The 18,240-nt window shown below is 48.8% G+C and overlaps 1 protein-coding gene across 5 annotated transcripts in view; it reads right to left on the reverse strand.

The window, feature by feature from the left end:
- Positions 1–18,240, reverse strand: part of ANK1 (ankyrin 1) — a 243,517-nt gene that overhangs the window by 105,560 nt on the left and 119,717 nt on the right. The gene's annotated exons all lie outside the window — the stretch shown is intronic.

The raw sequence follows: 18,240 nt of genomic DNA on the forward strand, positions 1-18,240 counted from the left end.
CTGAAGAGTTTGCAATATCACAGAGGTCCCTGGCCCCAAGAATCATGAATGCAGGCACCAAAGGAACCAAGCGTGGGCTCTTTGGAGCTGTTTTGTGTTTTTGTTTCTATTTGTCTGTTTTTCCTTTTTAGAGATGGGGTCTCACTATGTTCCCCAGGATGGTCTCGAACTCCTGGGCTCAAGCAATCCTCCTGCCCCGGCCTCTGAAAGTGCTGGGATTACAGGCATAAGCCACCATACCCAGCCCTGTGTTTTTGTTAAGTAAACAAACAGCTATGTGCTGTCAAGTAAACAGCACATAGCACTTACTATGTGCTAAGAGCCATTATTAGCACTTTACATATACAGTCAAGCCCATTTATTCAACCAACTGTGGATGGAAAATTTGCAGGAAAAAAATTAAAAATAACAATACTAAAATAAAAAGTAATACTAACAGAAGGCTGGGCGTGGTGGCTCAAACCTGTAATCCCAGCACTTTGGGAGGCCAAAGCAGGTGGATCACGAGGTCAAGAGACAGAGACAATCCTGGCCACCATGGTGAAACCCCATCTCTACTAAAAATACAAAAATTAGCTGGGCTTGGTGACGTGCACCTGTAGTCCCAGCTACTCAGGAGGCTGAGGCAGGAGAATCGCTTGAACCCGGGAGGTGGAGGTTGCAGTGAGCCGAGATCGCACCACTCCACTCCAGCCTGGTGACAAAGCAAGACTCCGTCTCAAAAACAAACAAACAAACAAAAAAACCCAGTAATACAGAAAAGCAATGCTGTACAACAATTATTTACAAAGCACTTACATTAGGTATTATAAGTAATCTAGAGATGATTTAAAGTATATATGACGATGTGGGTAGGTTATATGCAAACACTATATCACTTTACATGAGGTACTTGAGGATCTGTGGATTTTGGTATCTACAGGGGGTTCTGGAACCAATCCCCCACAGATACCGAAGGATGACTATAATATATATTCACACACATGCACACGCACAGATAAGCATTTTATCCTCATTTGGAATACCCAAGAGGTAAGTGGGATTGCAGAGTCCCATTTTACAGATGAGTGGGCTGAGGCACAGAGAGCAGAAGTGCCTTGTGCAGCATCCCACAGCAGGGAGGAGGCACAGCCAGGACTCAGATGCAGGTAGTGTGGCTCAGAAATTCATGAGCCGAACCTCCCAGCTCTGCAGCCAGCTCGGTCTCAGCTTTAACACCAGGCGCCCCCCAACAGATTTCTTAAATGAGAGTGAAGCTCTTCTGTTCCTTAGCTGCTGCTACGTCACCCACCCCATGCATCTCAGACCTTGCCCCCAGGAACATCTGTTTCCTTTAAAGATGAGTGACAGCCAGAGAGGGTGAGAGCTGAGGACAATAAAATAAAGTTTACTAATTGATATGGTTTGGCTGTGTCACCACCCAAATCTCATCTTGAATTGTAGCTCCCATAATTCCCACGTGCCCTGGGAGGGATCTGGTGGGAGGTACTTGAATCATGGGGGCTGGTTTTTCCCATGCTGTTCCCATGAAAGTGAATAAGTCTCATGAGATCTGATAGTTTTAAAAAGAAGAGACCCCCCTGCACATACTCTCTTGCCTGCTGCCATGTAAGACATGCCTTTGCTCTTCCTTCATCTTCTGCCATGATTGTAAGGCCTCCCCAGCCACGTTGGACTGTGAGTCCATTAAACCTCTTTCCTTTATAAATTACCCAGTCTCGGGTACATCTTTATTAGCAGTGTGAGAACAGACTAATACACTCACAAAGACAAATGTAATGATTAAAGCCCAGTCCTCAGGCATTGGAGTCCGTGGCCTAGACTCAGAGCCACTCCACTGGGTCTAGCTGAGTGCCCTCAGGTACTTAGACACCGTTGGCTTCTATTTCCTTATTTGTAAGCTGGGGAGAGTAAAGCCTTTCTTGTCCCCTTTTCATGATGCTTAAAAGAAATAAACAGTGTTTGGCACATAGTTGCATACAAGGCTGAGTTGAAAGGGTGAGAGTGGTCATATGACAAGCCACACATGGGAGAAGCGTGTGACGCCATTCCCACAGAAGACCCACAGTGGCTTCCTCTCCACCCAGGCACTTTGTCTCCTTCCTCTACATGCCCTCCTAAAAAAAACATGCTGCAGTGGGCTGAATGGTGCCCCCCAAAAGATATGTCCACACTCTTATCCCTGGAACCTGTGAAGGTGACCTTATTTGAAAAAAAAGTCTTTGTAGATGTAATTAAGTCATGGATCTTGAGACGAGATCATCCTAGATTACCTAGGCTGGCCCTAAATTCAATGACAAGTGTCCTTAGAAAAGACAGAAAAGGAGAAGACACACATGCACACACACACACACACACATGCATGCACATATATGTGTATGCACACATGCACACACAGATGCATGCGCACACACACAGATTCACACACACACACACAGATGTGTGCACACAAATCTACACATACACACCCATACACAGACGTGTGTGCACACACATGCACACCAAGAGATGCATACACACACACGCACACACATGCACAGATACACACACCTGCACACATACACATGCACATACAGAGACCTGTGTGCACACACACACACACACATGTTCACACACACGTATACACACACACAGAGGTGAAACTATGTGAAGACAGAGCCAGAGACTGGAGTGACTTTAGCCATGCACAAGGAAGCAAGGAACCTCTGGGAGGTGGAGGCTCATAGAAGAAGGCCCTGAAGCCCTGGAGGGAGTGTGTCCCTGTGGAGGCCTTAATTTAGATCTCCAGCCTCCAGACAGCGAGAGAACACATTTCCGTAGTGTCAAGCCACTAAGTGTGTGGCGATTTGTTACAGCAACCATGGGAAACTCATGCACACACTAGTGATGACCACCCTTGAACACCCTTGAACACAGAAGACTCCAAATCTACAGCCGAAGACCAAATGGAACTCTCATCCTCCTCCACAAAGCAGCGCTTCACGTCTTCACCACTGAAACAGGGAGTCCCTAGGGCATCAGCAGTAGGGTTCTCCAGCCTTCCAGACAGGGGGTCCTCCCTCCACACTCAGGTGCTGCCCCACACCACCTCCCAGCCCCCACCCACAACCCCAGGCCTGCAGAAATGCTGCTTCCTCGCTCTGCCTCCCAGCCAACCTCCTCCATCCCTGCCTCACCCAGCCAACCTCCTCCATCCCTGCCTAACTGGTCTTCCCCAAATCCTGACTTCCTGCCAGCCCTCCCCAACCTCAGGTCCCACATGGGCCCCCTATGATGTAAGCTCAAGTTCAAGTCCAAGCCCTGTGGCTGTCTGTTCATGAGGCACACTCATCTCGCTGTCCCCACAGCGGCAGGAGCCCCTTCTCACCTCCCTTGTCCTCTGTGACATTCTCATGCTCTGTCTACCTCCTAGCCTGCACCTTCCTCCTCCCTGGGCCCTGAAGCTCCATCTCCCTCTGGTTTGCTACTTCCAATCTTTCTTCCCTTCAAGGCCCTGATGGTGGCTACTTCCTGCATGAATGACACTATGCTTAGACACTCAGTATTTGCCATCTTTAAATCTAGGAACCACAAAACAGGAGCTTGTTTTTTTTTTAATGCACTTAAAATATCTCTTTCTCTAGCTATTGAATTCAGGCAAGTCTTGTCTCCCCAGCCAAACTGTTTGCTTCTTGGGGCAGGGACCAAGTCTTCTATCTCTTTTGAATCCTCCAAAGCATTAAGTGTCTGCTAGGGCGAGGCCTCCCTTGACCTAAAGCACATGGCATTCACATCCTAGGTTCCTCAGCAAGGCATCTGTGGGGCAGGAAATATTTCAGAAATGAAGATCAAGCTGTTGGCTCTCCAGGCATGAGCTGGGTTTCCAGAGAAAACCCAGTCAAGGTTTAGTCTCTCAGATAAATGTTACTTATGCTACTGATTCAGAAAGTCTGTCTAGATTCAGTTATTAGGAAAAACACTATATTATTCCCCAAGAATAAGAATGTTAAAGAGACATTTCTCCCACCAATTAACTACCGTTTATGGCACAATAATAGGATTCAGGCTGAAAACCTGAGAATGGGTGGATAAAAATAGACTCAATATCCACTAATGACACTGACTGCTCAAAGCACTGAATCCAGGAAGAAAAGAAGAATATTTATGACAAACTGGCAGGGCGTGGTGGTTCCTGTAATCTCAGCACTTTGGGAGGCCAAGGCAGATGGATCACTTGAGGCCAGGAATTAGAGACCAGCCTGGTCAACATGGTGAAACCACATCTCTATTAAAAATAGAAAAAGTAGCCGGGCATGGTGGTGCATGCCTGTAATCCCAGTTACTTGGGAGGGTGAGGCAGAAGAATCACTTGGACCTGGGAGGCAGTTTGCAGTGAGCTGAGATTGCGGCACTGCACTCCAGCCTGGGCGACAGAGAGAGACTCTGTCTCAAAAAAAAAAAAAAAATTTATGACAGACAAGCACATAAATAGAGGGTAAGGGAAGCTCCATATGGACTAGATTGAGGAAAGCTAAACCATTTCTGTTGTTGCCATAATAGAATACTAAAATTATAATACCAACCATTGGGACAAATGTATTACCAGCATTATATCTTTTAATTCTTATAACAACCTGTGGGTAGGTATAATTATTATCCCCATTTTAGAGGTGATGAAACTGAGGTTTTGAGAGGTTAATAACTTGCCCAAGTTCTGCAGATAAATACTTGGGGTGATTCAATCCAGGGGTACCCCACTGAAGTCTATGCCTTTCCACTGCCCTTGACCCCAAGGGCGTTCTTGGCCATTTCAAGCCTGAGGGTGTTCAGGCAGCCCTGACAGGCTGGCGGCTGGGCAGGCCTATATGCCTCGGCCGTTAAAGAGCTAATCCATGGCAGAGGAAAAATGCTAGGAGGTCCCACTCAGGCTCTGTCCCTGAGCACTCTATTCAGACCAAGACAGGTCTCTAGAAGGGAACCATCTAGTTCCAGCCCTTCTTGTCACTGAGGATAAAATTGAGGCCCAGGGAAGTAAAGTGACCGGCTAAGGTCACCTAGATAGTTAGCAGTGAAGTGCAATTGCTAAAGCTTTTTCTTTCTTTCTTCTTTCTTTTTTTCTTTTTTTCTTTTTTTTTTTTTTTTTTTTTTTTTGGGCTTCTCCAGGCATAGAGTAGTCAGGACTCTGCAGGATCCTCAGGGCATCTGGGAGGTGAACTGCAGATAATGATGCCACTCCCAGTAGCAACTACACATCATTCAGTTTAATTCCACAATGTATTTACTGGGGTCCTATTTCAGGACCAATATCCTGCTAGGGCAAAGAGAGAATAATCACTCAGAATATAGGTCCTTGCTCTCTTGATCTGAATAATCAAGCAATTGTGTTATAAAGCGGTCATGTGCATTGCATGCACCTGTGGATCCATTCCATGAGTATTCATTGAGAACCTCCTAGGGGCCAGGCAATATTTCAGCTACAGAGCAAATGGCCCTTGTTGGGATATGAGACTCATCTTTACCATCGTGTTCTGCTGAGCCCCTACTGCCCATCTGTGTAGTCCAACTGCTCCAATTCAATGACCTGTCCTCAGTACATCCAGCAAATGCAACAGGGCAGGAGGCGTGTCCAAAGAATCCAATGTGTTCCATTCAAAACATTTACCTGAGCACATACTGACCCAAAAAACAACAGCAACAAAATACAAACCTGACCATCTCTGGGCTATGACAAACCGGAGCAGAATGACTGGCCCTCTCCAAGGCTCATCCATTCCCAGATCAGGAGGCCAGGAGGCCTGCTCATCCTATACAGAAAACTACCCCACCGTGTCCACAAGCCCTGGCCACCAGTGAGGTGCTGGCACCTCTGTTGTGCACCCCACCAAAGCTGTCTTCTGGTGTCTCTTCCCCTCCTCATCTCTAGCTTCGTTTTAATCTAATTCTACCTGTGTGCGTGTTCGGGGATCTGCACACAGCAGACATTCTGCTGTGCCTGCATCCCTGCTGCCTAATCAATGTGATGTCCCTGAACTTCCTTTCAAAACAAAACAAGTTTACTTTCACAAAGCTCTCCCTAGGTTTTAAACACACCACATAAATTAATTCACTCCCTCCTCAGAATAATCTCACAAGGCACGTGTTTTGTTATCTCCTTTTTATAGATGAAGTGACCAAGTCACAGAAAAGTAACTTGTCCAAAGTCACATAGCTAATATGTAGCATGGCCAGGATTTGAGTCTAGGTAGCATACTTCTTAACTATTGTGCTATACCGCTTCCTGGGTCAATCATTTCCCTTCCTTCCTTCCTTCTTTCCTTCCTTCCTTCTTTGCCTCCTTCCCTCCTTCCTTCCTTCTCTTTTTCTCTCTCTCTCTTTCTCTCTTTCCTTCTTCCTTCCTTTCCTTTCTTTTCCTTTCTTTCTTTCTTTCTTTTTCTTTCTCTTTTTTTCTCTTTCTTTCTTTTTCTCTCTCTCTCTTCTCCATTTCTTTCTTTCAAGACAGAGTCTCCCTCTTTCTTCCAGAGTGGTCCCCCAGTGGTGCAGTTATAGCTCACTGCAGCCTCAAAGTCCTGGGCTCAAGAGATCCTCCTGCGTCAACACCCCCTTCCCCCGAATAGCTGAAACTACAGGCGTGCACCACCACACCTGGCTAATTTCTTTATTTTTTGTAGAGATAAAGTCTCCCTATGTTGCCCAGGCTGGTCTTGAACTCCTGGCCTCAAGCAATCTTCCCACCTCCACCTCCCAAAATGCTGGGATTACAAGCATGCGCCACTGTGCTGGCCTAATCATTTTCTAGTGCTCATAAGGGTCCTCTCCAGTTCAGCTCTGGCTGGAGAAAGCCTTCTGCCTGGGTTTGGAGGCTGTGCCCACGTCAGGAGAAAGGGAATGGAAGAGAAGGAAGGGAACAGAATTCTTCCTAGGAATTAAGTTCTCATCAGGACTGCTCTGAAAGGGTGGTGAATCCTGGTTACCTGAGACACCCAGACTATTATTAAACTTGCACTTCCTGAGCAGATACTAATATAGCAATAGATGGGGTGCGAGGGGGCTCCAGTATCCTGAGAGGGAGGGGCCGGAAGCACGCTGCAGAATGTCAACATGCTGTCACCCATGAGCAGGGGACATTGGGAAACACCAGCAGGCAGACCCAGGTGAGAGAACCCCAGGGCCTCCTCACACCTTCTCTGGGGGTTGGGGTGGCCTAAGTTTTCCCTAGGACAAATCATGACTGACCTCAAGATTTTTAGTACAAAATTCCTATCTAGAAAGGCGAATGGAAACTGAGCTAATATCAATTGCTGTAAACAGTCATAAGGCAATGCCACTTTCCCAAGGGGTCTTGTTGGAGCAAAATGCAGCTTCTTTAACGCAGCCACTGTCAGAGCTCTCAGGAAGAGATTTCAGGTCCTTTCCTGGGGGACCTGCAGCCCAGCCAGAAGACAGGCAGCAGCCCTGATGTGGAGCTGTCTGCTTGTGCTTGGGGGATCTGAGAGCCGCACTGGGGTATGAGGAAAGACAGCTGTCCCCAGCCAGCATAGCCTGGTAGCCCTGCCTTTACTCCCTTGACGATGGAGAAACAGAGGTGAACACTGGGCCCTAGTGAGTGTGTGTTTTATTATGTTTCTTTCCTTTTGCCTTCCAGAAAGGTGTGCTGTTACAGCTTTACAAACTGTCTCCAGGCTCCCCAGTCTGACTACCATTGGCAAAAATAAAATGAATAAGTTAAAGGTGTCACTGAGGAAACAAGACGCCTGAGCGGAAGTGCTGGGCTCCCTCTTAATCTCTCAACCCGAACTCGGGACATTGGGAAAACCCCTGGGGTTCCCTGTGCTGTCTGCACCCGACCCTGGAGGCTGGGCAGGGTGGGCTGGGACGTCACTGGGGAAGACCTGGCTGAGATGCACTGCTCGACCACTTGATGCTGTGCTCATCTAAGGCCCCAAACCTCCATTTCCCCATTGCTAAAATGGGGATCTTGCCAGGGGGCTGCGAGAATCGAAGGGGACAGCGGCAGAGAGCTCCAGGCTTGCCAGGGCGCCCAACAGGTCTGCCTTCCTCTGCCCCATTCATTTCCTGCTACCTGGGGGCCTCCGGGCGCCTCACGTTTCTGAGTTTTAGGGGCCAGACGTGCCGCAAGCCAGGTCCCCGCCCGGCCCAAGGCCGTGCATCTCCCACCCCCTGCTGAATCTACCCGGCCAGGCTGTCCCCTGGGGTGAGGGGACTTGGCCTCGGCCAGGGCCCGGCCCCCCTCGGGGCACCCCGGCGGCGGCTCCACGCTCCCGCCCGTGCCCCTCTTCCAGGCCGGCCACAAGTCCCGCTGCCTCCCAACCCCGGCTCCAGCCCCTCCGCGGCCGCAGCCTTCAGGCCAGAGGAATTTTCCTCTGGATCCTGCTAGAAGCCTCGGCAGCAGAAGGGCAGCCCCAGCGCGCGCACCCGCACCCGCCGGGGAAAGTTGGCGCCGGGCAGCCGGGCGCGGAGCCACAACCCGCAGGACGGACGCAGAGCCCCGGCCCCGGCCCCGGCCCCGATCCCCGCGCCCCGGCCCCGGCCGGGCAACCGCGACAGCTCGTGCACTCACCGCAGGGTCTGGCCCGGACCTGCCCTGTCGCGCTGCCATCGTCCGGCGCCCGCGCTGAAATCCGAGCCCGGCTCCCGCTCCCCCTCCCGGTTATCTGCTGGGCGGCGCGGGGAGCGCCAGCAAGTTACGCGGCATCTGGCTAAAAATACAGGCGCCCTCCACTCGCCCCGGCCCGGCCCTGGCCCTGCGCTCTCCCGCCCGCCAGCCTGCCGCTAATGGGATCTCTTCATTTTCTCTCCATGATTATGTCAGATGGGAAAGTTAATGCGAAGCGCTCTCCGGAGAGCAGGCACCTGCTGCCAAGCCCTGCGAAGGGGGTGCGCGCGGGGGCGCGGGCGGGGGTGCAGCCCCAGCTGCAGGTGCCGGCCGGCGGGCTCGGGGCGGGCGTCCTGCCCCTGCGGAGGGGAGGCACACACGTCCAGTGGAGGTGAGGAGCTCCAAGCTGCATGGCCTCCCTCCCTGCCTCCCGCCTCCCCGAATGCCCTGGTGAATGGGCCCCGGAGCTTGCCGAGACGTGGCCGGGGTGAGCTCAGCAAACTCTATTTATGCCCCATAACCGATTTGCATGTTTTGAGCTCTTCCATCGTGTCGTGAGATACCAGTTAATCAGCCTATTCCAGATTCTGCCTGAGAGCCGCCAGACGCAGCTGGGTTGCAGGAGGGCAGAGCTGTCACTCCCCGCTGCCTCCCGCACTGCTCTGACGCTGGCGGTTAACTAGCGTCACCCGAGGCTGTGTCCGTGCAGTAAGCAACCAGTGTTCTGTCCTGGGACCACTATCACCCTTTCATGCAGTCATTTCAGGGGCAGATGTCAAAACCCATGTTTGGGATTTTGGAGAAGACTAGGGGTGACATCATCAAGAGTAGGCTCAATTCAGAGGGATGAGGGAACCGTAAGTAAAAGCAGTGTCAGGTAACTGGGCCCCTGGCAATATGGCTTGTTCAGATCATAGGTGTTTTGTATCATAAGCCGGCTTCTTGCTGGCTTCAAGTCACAGTCAAGACACAATACCAAATGCTCTTTTCCTCTCCCGCTGTCCCCTGACATTGTACAGTACAGCTGCGCGTTGGTGAGGAACTAGCACGCTCAGCGCCTATTAGCTGATGGACATACTGCATTATCTCATTTAATCCTCACAGCCACCCATAAGGTAGGCAACACTACTACAGTTGGATAAATGAAGAAACTGAGCCCAGGGAGGTAATGGGTGGAGACCAAGGTCACCACTAGTAAATGGTGGGTCCAACTGGTTCTAAGCCAAATTGATCCAAAGCCCTGCCACTGGCCGCACCAGCAAGATTCCTAACAATAGTGTACTCAGCGCCAGGAAGAGATAATGTGGGGGATGATCTTGAAGGATCATAATCCCAGCATTTTGGGAGGCTGAGGCGGGGGGATTGCTTGAGGCCAGGAGTTCAAGACCAGCTTGGGCAACATAGTGAGACCCCCTGTCTCCACAAAAAAAAAAAAAAAAATTAATTAGCCAGGCAAGGTGGCACATGCCTGTAGTCCTGGCTACTCAGGAGGCTGTGACAGGAGGATCACCTGAGCCCAGGAGTTGGAGGCTGCAGTGAGCTATGATTGCAACACTGCGCTCCAGCCCAGGTGACAAGAGTGAGACCCTGTCTCTAAAAAAATAAAAATTAAAAAAGAAGAAAATACTGTGAGAGTGTGTTACAAAGCCAGGTACGCTTCAAAGCTATGCAGCAATCAGGGGGCATCCCAAGGAAGTGGGATAATCAAAGATCAAGAGAAAAGGCCAGGGTGTTGCCAAAAAGAGGGATCTGAAATGTAATAATACAACTCCTCCCCATGGGGGTTAAAAAACTGGTATTTGAAGATGACAATGTGAGAATTCTCCAGGCATAAGATCCTCCACAGCACTGGGGCTGAACTTGAGGATGGGCACCCTCTCGAAGGCAGCAGCCTGTCTGGATGTAAGTCACACAGCCCCTTCCCTCCCCAGGCACATGCTGCTAAAGCCCAGCTCACCCTCCAGGTCTCTCGCCTTGTACCTCTGAAAACCACCTTCCAGATTTGCTAGAATCCTCTACACAGAGAACTCCAATTAATAAATGATGGTTACTGGAACATCCCTGATCACAGCCCAGTGGAATATCTCAAGGGATTCTAATGCACTGTTCCAACATTAATATTTAGAGAGAGAGAGAGAAAATTCCCCGCTCAGATGAGTAAATAATATATATAATACTTTTAAAAACACGAATGCAATTGACTTGCACAATGAACTGAAAGAGATACTATTTTTTAGCAACTATTTGAGGATTAATTGACACACTACGAGTTGCACATTTAAAATGTACAATTTGCTAAGTTTTGGCATATGTATATCCCTGAAACCATGGCCACATAAGATAATGGGCATAATCACCTCCAAAAGTTTCCTCATGCCTCTTGGTATTCCCTGCCTCCTGCCGGCCAGTCCACATCCTTGTCAAGACTTGGTATGATCTGTCTTAATTCAGACATCCTAATAGATGCACCACATGGCTAATTAAAAAAAATTTTTTGTAGAGAAGGGGTCTGTTGCATTTCCCCAATAACTGATAATATTAAACACCTTTTTCAGGTGCTTATCTGCCATCTATATATCTTCTTTTTTTTTTCTTTTTTCTTTTTTTTTTTTTTTTTTTTTGAGGAAGAGTTTAGCTCTTGTTGCCCAGGCTGGAGTGCAATGGCATGATCTTGGCTCACTGCAACCCCCGCCTCCCAGGTTCAAGCGATTCTCCTGCCTCAGACTCCTGAGTAGCTGGGATTACAGGCATGCACCAACATGCCCAGCTAATTTTGTATTTTTTTAGTAGAGATGGGATTTCTCCATGTTGGTCAGGCTGGTCTTGAACTCCTGACCTCAGGTGCTCTGCCCGCCTCGGCCTCCCATGTTGTTGGGATTACGGGCGTGAGCCACTGCGCCCAGCTTATATATCTTCTTTGGTGATACATCTGTTCAAATCTTTTGTCCATTTTTAAGTTGGAATGTTTGTTTTCTTATTGAGTTTTGAGAGTTCTATCTATACAGAATATCTGTCTTAAAGGTGAGATAAACAGATCTTACAAGTAAAATATTCAAAGCTCAGTAGCAAAACATTCCCAGTCGCATTTTGGTACTCGGTTCTTATAATTCTTAAGCTGTATCTTTCTTCATATTATACAACGCTGTGGGTTATATACAATCACAAATTAAAAGATGTGATAGTCATAGTGGACCAGAAGCTGAATACAACCCACAGCACTCTGAGTGTAATGGGAAAGATGCTGAAGTATTATCAGAGGACTTTAGTTCTCAGAACTGCCAAGAATTCTTGACATTAGTCATGACCTCCTTAGGGTTGAGGCTTTGAAAAACTTAGGCAGGCGATGAGTCAGGCAAGGCCCAAGAGGAGGAGAAAGAACACAACTACAAACATGTTGCTCAGTGAGGCCTGAGGCTAAAGGAGCTGAGATGATAAAGCTAAGGGAGAGAGCCCTTGAAACATAAATTCCAGCACTGCAGCCTGGAATGCCACATTGGAGCTAATTATATGGTGCCCAGTCCCAGGTGTGGTGGCCTGCCACCAGGACTGAATTCTAAATGTCTCCCAGGCAGAGACAGCTTGGTTCTCATGTTCCAAATTCCCAGTCCCTCTCCCTTGCTTTCCCCACCTACTCCTCTATGTGACTGGCACAGTGCCGGGCAGTGCTAAACACAGTGATTACTGACTGGTGTTAGAAGAATGATGTCCCCAACACTTCCATGAGTCATAAAGAAACTGTAAGTCTTGGGGTTCAATTGCTATGGAAAAGATTTAGATTCCACAGAAAGAACTTTCCAGCTATAAGAGATACGTGACTTAATAGAACTCTTTATTCAGAAAGGGTTTAATCTTTGCAGGAGATCCTTCAGGATGGCAGAAAAAAAAAACCTCAACATTTGATCTGGCATATAGACCACTGGGTAAGCTGTACGACTTGGAAGGGTCTCTTTGGGCCCTAGGGATTCAGAAAGCTAAACTATTGTTCTTTTCCCCATAACTGACTGTCCCCTCAACCTTCCATCACAACCACACCCTTAGACCACAAATAATCATCCTGCTTCTCCATCTGCATTTTGTTCATACTTCAAGGCTGCACGTTTTAACGTAGGCATTTAGTGTGCTAAGAACTTGCTAGTGAGATCAAAACAAACCACCAGAAAGGAATTGATGGGCTGAAGAAAAGGCTAAAGACTCTCGGCAGACACAGGCCACTGTTCTAGCCTGTAGCTTCATGGAGTCTTCAGGCTTTTCCCGTCTTGCTAAATATTTTACCTACTGTCTCCTTGCAGGTCTCTCTGCAGACAAGCATAATGAAAAGCTGGAGGCCTCGCCTGTGGGGTTCTGTCCTCTGGGCCACATGCAGCTATGCCAAGCAGGGATGATGTGGGAGAGAAGAAAGGGAAGAAATAGACTATGCAGCACTTAAACCCCCAGCTCGCTCCTGGCTTGATGCAGTGGGCTGTTCTCAGTATAGACAGGGACTCTGGGACACTTGATGGGCTGCTGCTGCTGTCAATTCCTGCAGGGATTTCACGAGCTGGAAGAACACAAGCCTGCAGCAAAGAATCCCATGCGAGTGGGATTCTCAGGCGACTCTGCCTCCCCAGGATGATTTGGGAGAACAGGTCCGGGCTGCTTCAAATGGTGGCCAGTCAGAGACATGAAGTGGCTCCTCTCTACAGGGACATCAGAGCTGAGATCAGGGCAGCCCCAGGATTCGAGAGAAGGGCATCCTGGCAGCTCAGGCCCTGTGGCAATGACCGTCGCGCTTAACCCTCCTATGCAATCAACTCAAACCCAGAACTCAATAGCAACAACACTATTTGCTTTCTGGACAGCCTCTTAAGAGGCTCTAAATCAGTAGGTCTCCCACAATTGAGCTGTGCAGCTTTTGATAAAGGAAATGACTTTTCTGAGCATTGATTTCTTCATCAGTAAAGTGAAAATAGCTTCACCCATCTCTCCAATATTGGGAGAATAATGTAAAATGCTGACCACCACTTCTGGCACATTTGGTAAGTGCTCTATCAATGACAGCTGATGCTCTTTTTTCCTCCTCCCCTCCATTTCTTCTCGACTAAAGCTTTTGTCAAAGGTTAATGTCTCCCCCAGAGGTGTGGGTTGTCACTGATCTTGCTTCAACACTGGAAAATCAAGGCCTCATCACTGCTTACCCAGGGTCAAACATCCATGGTCAAGATCAGGATCCCAAGAAATCTCAAAGCTCTACCCTGCACCCAGACCTCTTGGGCTTACAATGCACCCTTTTCAATGCCCATATTCTCTGCAGCAAAGAAACAATGTGTGGACTCAGTTGTGCCCCCACGCTCCCTGTCCGCAGCTGCCCTTGCAGTGTCCTGCTGCTGGCTGTGGCCAGCTGACCCGTTGGGCTCTCCTCCTGACCCTCCTTCCATCTGTTCCATCCTCACCCACCCAAGGAGCCGCCCCTGCTCCTAGAGACTCTGGGCACCACTGATAAGGGTGGGTACCAGGAACTCCACCCTTTACCGAGAAAGGCAGGCTGGTTTATCGCCACTCAGACCCAGCCAGCGACCACCCTGGGGAGTGTGTCAGCCACCAGGAGCATCGCTGTTGGGGAAATGTTATTAACTAGGAAGGAACTTTACAGAATGTTCCACACAAATGTCACATTGAATTCAATCAGAAATCCAGCCTGACCCCCCCTAAACCTGGTCATTCCTTCTTAACCTTAATGGCAGTGACAGAAGAAAGGGAGAGAGGAATGGAGTCTTGGTTGTTTTTCTATTTAACTTTGTGTAGGGAGTGCCCAGTGGTCAATTAAGGTGTCCTGGGCACCCGGCCTGGCTGGAGTAAGGGATGGCAAGTGCGGGGGTCTATTTAGGGAGGTGATCAGAGCCCGGATCAGGCCCCACAGAGTTGGCACCAATCTCCATCATGTTCTTTTTAAGAGGGTTGGCAGCCCTGGAGTCTATTTTTAAACCCATGAGAAAGGTGCTGTGTGGATTCCAAAAAGGGCCAACATTAAACCCGAGATCCCTGGAGGAGGGAGGGAAGGGGGGAGGCACAGCTGAACCTAGGATTTTCTCTTCACACACACAGGGGTTCCCCTTATTCCTGGGATCAGATATTGACTGTCCTTCCAAAGGGATCTCTTGGGTTACAGGCCCACTCTTTGGCATGGCTTTGGTGGAATTCGACTCCTAACGAGCTCGTGAGTTGGAAAGGGTTTTGCACACCGGGTCTCTTTTTCAGAATTGAGATTTTTTTAAATCCCTCTACCCCCAGTGTGAAAACTCCATGTGCTTTTGATATATCCGGCATCTCCCCCTTCTTCCTACTTTCAAATCACATGTTCTGGAACCCCCGCTCCCTCCTGCATGCACTGCAGAGCCCACAGCCGAGAATCTACAACAGGAAGATCCAAGGAAAGTCTAAGTTCCCCACGGCCACGGTGCCCAGCTCCCCAGAAACCCAGTCCCGGTGCTGGAGAAGGATGGGGAGTGGACCCAAGTGGCAAGCCTGCGGGGGACAGGATTATTTTCCCAATAGTGAGAAATAAACAGGCATCCAAACGCCACTGTTTCCCATCAAATAACCAGATGAAGCGAACAGAATGTTTTATGTACAATAACAAATTTCAGCTTCAGTATCTGTGTCTCTTTTTGGATAAGAAATAGAACCAGAATTCCTAAAGAACAAAATGCCTTGAGATTAAGCAAATGCTTCTGCTGAATAGTTCTGGGACCACCCAGGACCCCCTGGGCAGGGAAGTAGGAGACGAGGTCTCTTCTCATCTCCGCTCAACTCAGAATCCCCAAGCCTAGCACAGAAGCACCACTCAATACATGTTTCCTGAGCAGAACATGATGCAGTTTTGTGCCCCATGTCAACCAGGTAGGAGCTCCCACCAGTCATGCTGAAAACAACAGACATGAGTTTAAGCACAATGCTGGCCGCACAACAGAGGCTCCATAAACGTTAGCTGGATTGGAATCCAGTCAACTCAGATTTCTAAATGAATCAGATGTTCGGGGCTAGTTGACTAAATTGTCAATGTCCCCACGTGCTATTATAGCCCCTGTAGAAACAGCCTGGGGACCACTGTCCTCTTCTGGGCAGGGAAGTTTCAGGTGCTTCCCATCCCAGGGCCAGGGCCGTGCTGCAGAAAAAAGCCTCCACACCCCAACCTGCCCTGCCCATCCTTTCCCCACAATCTCCATTAGTCCTAAATTGCCAGTCCAAGCCCAAGAGAGCAATTGTTTCCTCAGTCCCAAGGCAGCGAAGCAGACAGCTCTTCAATAGTTCACATCTTTCTGCTGAGGGTGGGAAGATATTGGGGTGTCTTGTGGGTGCCTAAATAGAATTCCAAGTGCACCCGCATCACCAAGCACCCTGGCCCACGCCGCAGAGCATGCCACATTTCCCCACTGCGCAAGGAATGGGCTGCATTTAGAATTGACACTTCAGAACATATTGTGGACTGGGGAGCCGAGACTAGAGTGGAATTACACACATTTTGGAAAATGTGGATGAGCGGCACTGCCAGAATGGGCCCATTTACTAAACTACCTCCAGTGTTTCCAAACATTAGGGAAACCTTCCTCTGCGGCCTGCTGGTATGCGAGGAGGAGGAGCACATACTGGAGAAAATGCAAAATCAAAATCATTGGGAAGGTGCTAATAGGGAAAATAGGGACTCTTCTTTTTTTTTTCAAGTTGCCAAACAGGCTTAAGTACTGGCAGTGAACCCCATGGCTCCAGAGTTTCTGAAGGATGCCCAGGCGTTGGACAGCCCTGCATGGCACGCTCTTCCTCAGCAATGAAGAAAGATTCCCACCCTTCCTTAGAAATGCAACTTTGCCTGATATAAGCTGCCATCTGGAGCAGGCGGGGCCGACCAGGGGGTACCCTGAGACTCCTCCTTTATTTGAACAATTTGCCCCAAGGGACAGAGCCAGGATGGGTGGCCCATTGCCAGCCAGAGAGACCTGCCCAAGATTCCAGAGGGGCTTGTGACCCTGAAATTTGGGGTCTGTGCCCCTGGAGTTTGTCCAGCCTCTGGAGCAAGGCTTCCCTTACATGGAGAAGGTAGCCTTGAACCATCCATTGGGAACTAGGCCTGGAAGGCCCCGTCCACACCCTCTAGCCCATGATGATTCACCGCAGAGACAATGAGATACAGAAGTGAGAGCAGGAAGGGGGAACTGATTTGAAGATAATAATAATAAAGCTACAGTTAGCAGGGCATGGTGGCTTATGCCTGTAATCCCAGCACTTTGGGAGGTTGAGGCAAGAATATCACTTGAGGCCAGGAATTTGAGACCAGCCTGGGCAACATAGCAAGATCTCTGTTTCTCCATACACACAAAAAATTAAAATTAGCCATACATGGTGGTGCGCACCTGTAGTCCCAGCTACCCGGGAGGCTGAGGTGGGAGAATCGCTTGAGGCCAGAAGTTCAAGGCTGCAGTGAGCTATGATCCTGCCATGGCACTCTAGCCTGGGCAAAAGAGTGAGACCTTATTTCTAATAATAACAATAATAATAGCTACAATGTGTGAGCCAGGTATTGTTCAAAGCATGTTAGATGTTAACACATTTAACCCTCAAAACCACCCTACGAGTTAACAGCTATTATTATTCCCATTTGACAGAAGCAGCTAAGGCACAAAAACATTAAGTCATTTGTCCAAAGTCCTCCAGGAGTAACATGATGCCTGATGCCTGGGGTGGTGCATGAAACACAGTAAAGGGGCTGGCCCTGGGCTTTGCACCATTCTGCAACCTAAGGTATTTTTAGGGTAGAGGGGAAAACTGAAATTCAATATTCTCCAGTAAGAGTTGCTCAGTCTTGGAAATTTAGGTGCAACCGGGGCATCTTTAATAATGTGGCCATTCTCTCTATTCAGAAAAAATGCCAGCCACCAATCACTATCACATTCAATGCAGAAATGTGAGGTATCTGTTTCCATGAACTAGGCCCTCCAGGGTTTAATGAGCGGGGATCTGTCCTTTCCAAGAGCCATGGAGAAATGGGGAGGCCTTGAATCAATAATCCCAGTCCACTCCAATCGAGTTCTCTAGAATTACAACAGTAACATCGTCATGTAACCTCCATTGCACACTTCTGAACCAAGAGAAAGAAGCTCCAGGGAGCTGGTGCTACGTCTTCCCGGCTGGCCCACAATGATCCTAGACTCCAAGAAAGGATAATGAGGTAGACCAAGCCCAGGGGACCCTCTGCTGTGAAACCCACTTCTTCGCCTTCATTGGGGCCCTGCTGATAAGGGGTGGCTTCCACTGGCTAAATGCTGACTGCAGAGGTTTCCTCTCTCTTCCCAGAGCCAAAACATTGCAATTAAACCCAATTAAACTACTAACTGGCCTACCTATGCCTCTTTAATTTTTCCATTTGTACAACTTAACAACAGGAAGACAGGATCCTTCCTCCAAGATGCACTTAAGCTCCTTTCAACGGGGTGCTTAGCAGCTACCACTCGAAAACACCTTGGCGTCAGCCCTCGACTTCCTAGTCCTGTTTTCTCTTTACTACCAAGGAAACAAGAGCAGGTGTCACACATAATACTTCACACAGGGCTCATCGTATTATTTTAATAATTGAAGGGAACCATTTTCTTTCTGTTTAATCCTCTTATGAATTCTGG

Source organism: Homo sapiens, chromosome 8 (genome assembly GCF_000001405.40).
Source record: "Homo sapiens chromosome 8, GRCh38.p14 Primary Assembly".
Classification (NCBI taxonomy): domain Eukaryota; kingdom Metazoa; phylum Chordata; class Mammalia; order Primates; family Hominidae; genus Homo; species Homo sapiens.